The sequence below is a fragment of the Homo sapiens genome, chromosome 16 (assembly GCF_000001405.40).
Source record: "Homo sapiens chromosome 16, GRCh38.p14 Primary Assembly".
Taxonomy (NCBI): Eukaryota; Metazoa; Chordata; class Mammalia; order Primates; family Hominidae; genus Homo; species Homo sapiens.
Window position 1 is genome coordinate 1,023,742 of NC_000016.10, and position 3,340 is coordinate 1,027,081.

The 3,340-nt window shown below is 59.9% G+C and overlaps 2 annotated features.

Annotated features, from left to right (window-relative positions):
* Positions 1,156–1,670: an enhancer, noted in NCBI's record as "H3K27ac-H3K4me1 hESC enhancer chr16:1074897-1075411 (GRCh37/hg19 assembly coordinates)". NCBI's record gives its function as "activates a minimal SCP1, AML or CMV promoter by ChIP-STARR-seq in naive H9 embryonic stem cells {active_cell/tissue: H9 hESC(naive)}" and the evidence as "EXISTENCE:reporter gene assay evidence [ECO:0000049][PMID:30033119]".
* Positions 1,671–2,184: an enhancer, noted in NCBI's record as "H3K27ac-H3K4me1 hESC enhancer chr16:1075412-1075925 (GRCh37/hg19 assembly coordinates)". NCBI's record gives its function as "activates a minimal SCP1, AML or CMV promoter by ChIP-STARR-seq in naive H9 embryonic stem cells {active_cell/tissue: H9 hESC(naive)}" and the evidence as "EXISTENCE:reporter gene assay evidence [ECO:0000049][PMID:30033119]".

Below are 3,340 nucleotides of genomic sequence, written 5' to 3' on the forward strand. Positions count from 1 at the left end.
AGTCCTCCCGGCTCCAAAGCGTAGGTTCCTCTAACCATGAACAGAGGCTGAAAAGAGCACCTGACTTTCCCAAGCCTGGCTGTCCGGCCAGTCCACTCTGGCCATGGCAGCAGGAGGAGGGCCCTCGGGGTTCAGGCCCTCCAGGCACCCCATGCATGACAAACCGTCACACTTGTGAAGTCGGAGTGGGGAAGCCCCCTCCCTGCCCTTTCAGGCAAGGGTGACCCTGAATAATGGTCTGTTCCTCCATGCCTCAGTTTCCTTGTCTGTAAAGGAGGCGACATCTACAATCTAAAAGGACTGTGGGAATGTCAGCACAGTCAGCTCCTGCCCCGGGCTGGCCCCCACCAGCAGCCGCACACGTTGTTGGGGGTCGGGGACGTGGTAATTCCTCAAGGCCTTCATGTTCTGGGGGTCCGGCTGCGGGCTCAGAGGAGGCAATGCATGGCTGCCAGCCATTGTCGGTGGAGACGTGGCTCTGGCCTGACTCCCACCGCTGCCCCTTCTTTGCTCCCTGGCAGGGCCCCGGGAGAGGAGCGGGCACCACCCGATAGGTGACATTGTCCCGTCACAGGTGGGGCTCAGCTGACAGTGGCTCCCAGGCCTGGACGCCTGATATCCCTGAGAAGGTTGCCTTTGCCCTGTCGTCACCATGGAGATGGCCACTGCTCAGCACAGAAGGCACTCAGGGAGGGGACAGCGAGGGCAGATGGGGCGGGCCAAGGACGCAGCCAGTCCCCACGCCGGGCCCTGCACCACGGCAGCTAGCGCGGCCGGTGCTTATTCCACCCCAGAAGATCCGGAATGTTTCCTCCCATGCTTCCCCAAAAACTTACAGCCCATTCTGTTTAGAAAACCACACACAAGGCCAGGCACGGTGGCTCATACCTGTAATCCCAGCACTTTGGGAGGCCGAGGTGGGCGTATTGCCTGAGGTCAGGAGTTTGAGACCAGCCTGGCCAACATGGTGAAACCTCCCTGTCTCTACTGAAAATACAAAAATTAGCCGGGCGTGGTGGCGGGCGCCTGTAATTCCAGCTACTTGGGAGGCTGAGGCAGGAGAATTGCTTGAACCTGGGAGGCGGAGCGTGCAGTGAGCCGAGATTGCGCCACTGCACTCCAGCCTGGGCGACAGAGCGAGACTCCATCTAAAAAAAAAAAAAAAAAAAAAAACTATACTTGAGTAGCCGGTTAGAAAACATCTCTGGAGGGAGCACCCTTTCTTTCTTCTTGGAAGCCAGAGCCTTTGACTCTTCCTGGCTGCAACACAATCTCTTCAAGGTACTGCCGGGGTCAGCCATCGCCTGCTGAGGCTTGGGCCGGAGCCCCATCCTGCCTGGGTGTTCACACGGCTCCAGCTCCACTGTGATGCTGAGACCCGGGAACGTGGCCGGCCGGCAACTCCGTGAAGTGCCAAACGCAAAAGGACATACGGCGGCAGCCATCGTCCCTCAGTATCCGTGAGGGGTCGTTCCAAACCCCAGAGGACACCAGGGTCCGCGGGTGCTGAGGTCCCCGGCTTGGAGGGTGCTGAGGTCCCCGGCTTGGAGGGTGCTGAGGTCCCCGGCTTGGAGGGTGCTGAGGTCCCCGGCTTGGAGGGTGCTGAGGTCCCCGGCGTGGAGGGTGCTGAGGTCCCCGGCTTGGAGGGTGCTGAGGTCCCAGGTGTGGAGGGTGCTGAGGTCCCCGGCTTGGAGGGTGCTGAGGTCCCTGGTGTGGAGGGTGCTGAGGTCCCCGGCTTGGAGGGTGCTGAGGTCCCAGGTGTGGAGGATGCTGAGGTCCCCGGCTTGGAGGGTGCTGAGGTCCCCGGTGTGGAGGGTGCTGAGGTCCCCGGCTTGGAGGGTGCTGAGGTCCCCGGTGTGGAGGGTGCTGAGGTCCCCGGTGTGGAGGGTGCTGAGGTCCCTGGTGTGGAGGGTGCTGAGGTCCCTGGTGTGAAGGGTGCTGAGGTCCCTGATGTGGAGGGTGCTGAGGTCCCTGGTGTGGAGCGTGCGGTGTCCGCACATGAAACAGGGTGTAACTTTACATCATCTGCAGTCCCTGCTGACCCCAATGCCAGGCACACGCGCAGAAGCCGTTCTCACACCGTGTGGCTTGGGGAAGAGCAACAACAAAAATGTCTGTCCGTGTTCAGCACAGACGCAGCCCTCCACTAAAAGATATATTTTCCATCTGAGGTTGGTTGAATCCCCAAAAGTGGAGTTCACGGACGCGGCCGGCTGGCTATATCATGCAGCCATAAAAGGGAAAGACGTACAGACACCCCACAGATGAGTCCCGGAAACACGGCGCACGATGACACGAGCCAGACACAAAAGGACGCACATTGTGACTCCATTTACACGACAGGTGCAGAGAAGGAAAGTCCGGAGACAGAACGGAGCCCATTGGTTGGCGGGGGCTGGGGAGTGGTGGGAGTGCCTGGTGGTTTGGGGGGGACTCCCTTTGCGCTGATAAAAATGTTCTGAAAGCGACAGTGAAGACGTTCGCACAGCCCTGCGAATACGGCAAAGGCCCCTCGAGCTGCGTGCTTCCGTGGCTGGGTGGCGTGCTGTGTGAATCACATCTCAGTAGAGCTGTTAGGTAAAGAATGTAAGCATCTCATTCATTATTTTTATATTGACTGCACGCTGCCACGATAATATTGTGGATAAACTGGGTGAAGTGAAATATTAGCATGAATTTGAATTTCACGTCTTCTATTTCACCTTCTTCGCTGTGGACACCAGAACGTTCGCAGTTGCACATGTAGCTCGGATTCGTGGCTGGAGTTCTGTTGCTGGAGCTGCTCCAGGCCCTGACAGCGCTCAGGCGGTGTGGGGAGCTCCCCTGTTGCCGTGGTGACAGGCCCCAGCCCCGCAGGCTGCCAGCAACCCATAGGCTGGAGTCTGTCTGCAAGGCAGTGGTAAGGGGGTCCTGCCCGGTGGGCCAAGGACACAGCCGGTCCCCACGCCAGGTCCCCCGCACCGCGGCAGCTAACGGGGCCGGTTCAGCCCTCATGCAGCAGTGGGGGCGTCTTCTGTTCTGCTTGCCAGGTGGGCATGGCTGGGTGCTGCTGTGTGCCAGGGTCCTCACCCCAGTGTGCCTGTGGGACGTGAGCGTGTTCGGAAGCGGGGCCTTGGCAGGTGTAATTGGCAGCATTAAGGTTATATTGGCTGAGAGTGGGCGTGGATCCAGTGAGTGGGTCCTTAGGAGAAAAGGAGGTGACACAGGTCCAGGGAGGCCGAGCACAGATGGAGGCAGAGACTGGAGCGAGGTGGCCACCACCAGGACCGCCCAGGACAGCGGCAGCCGCCAGAAACCAGGAGAGGCAGGAGGACACCCAAGGATCCCCACAGGACCCACA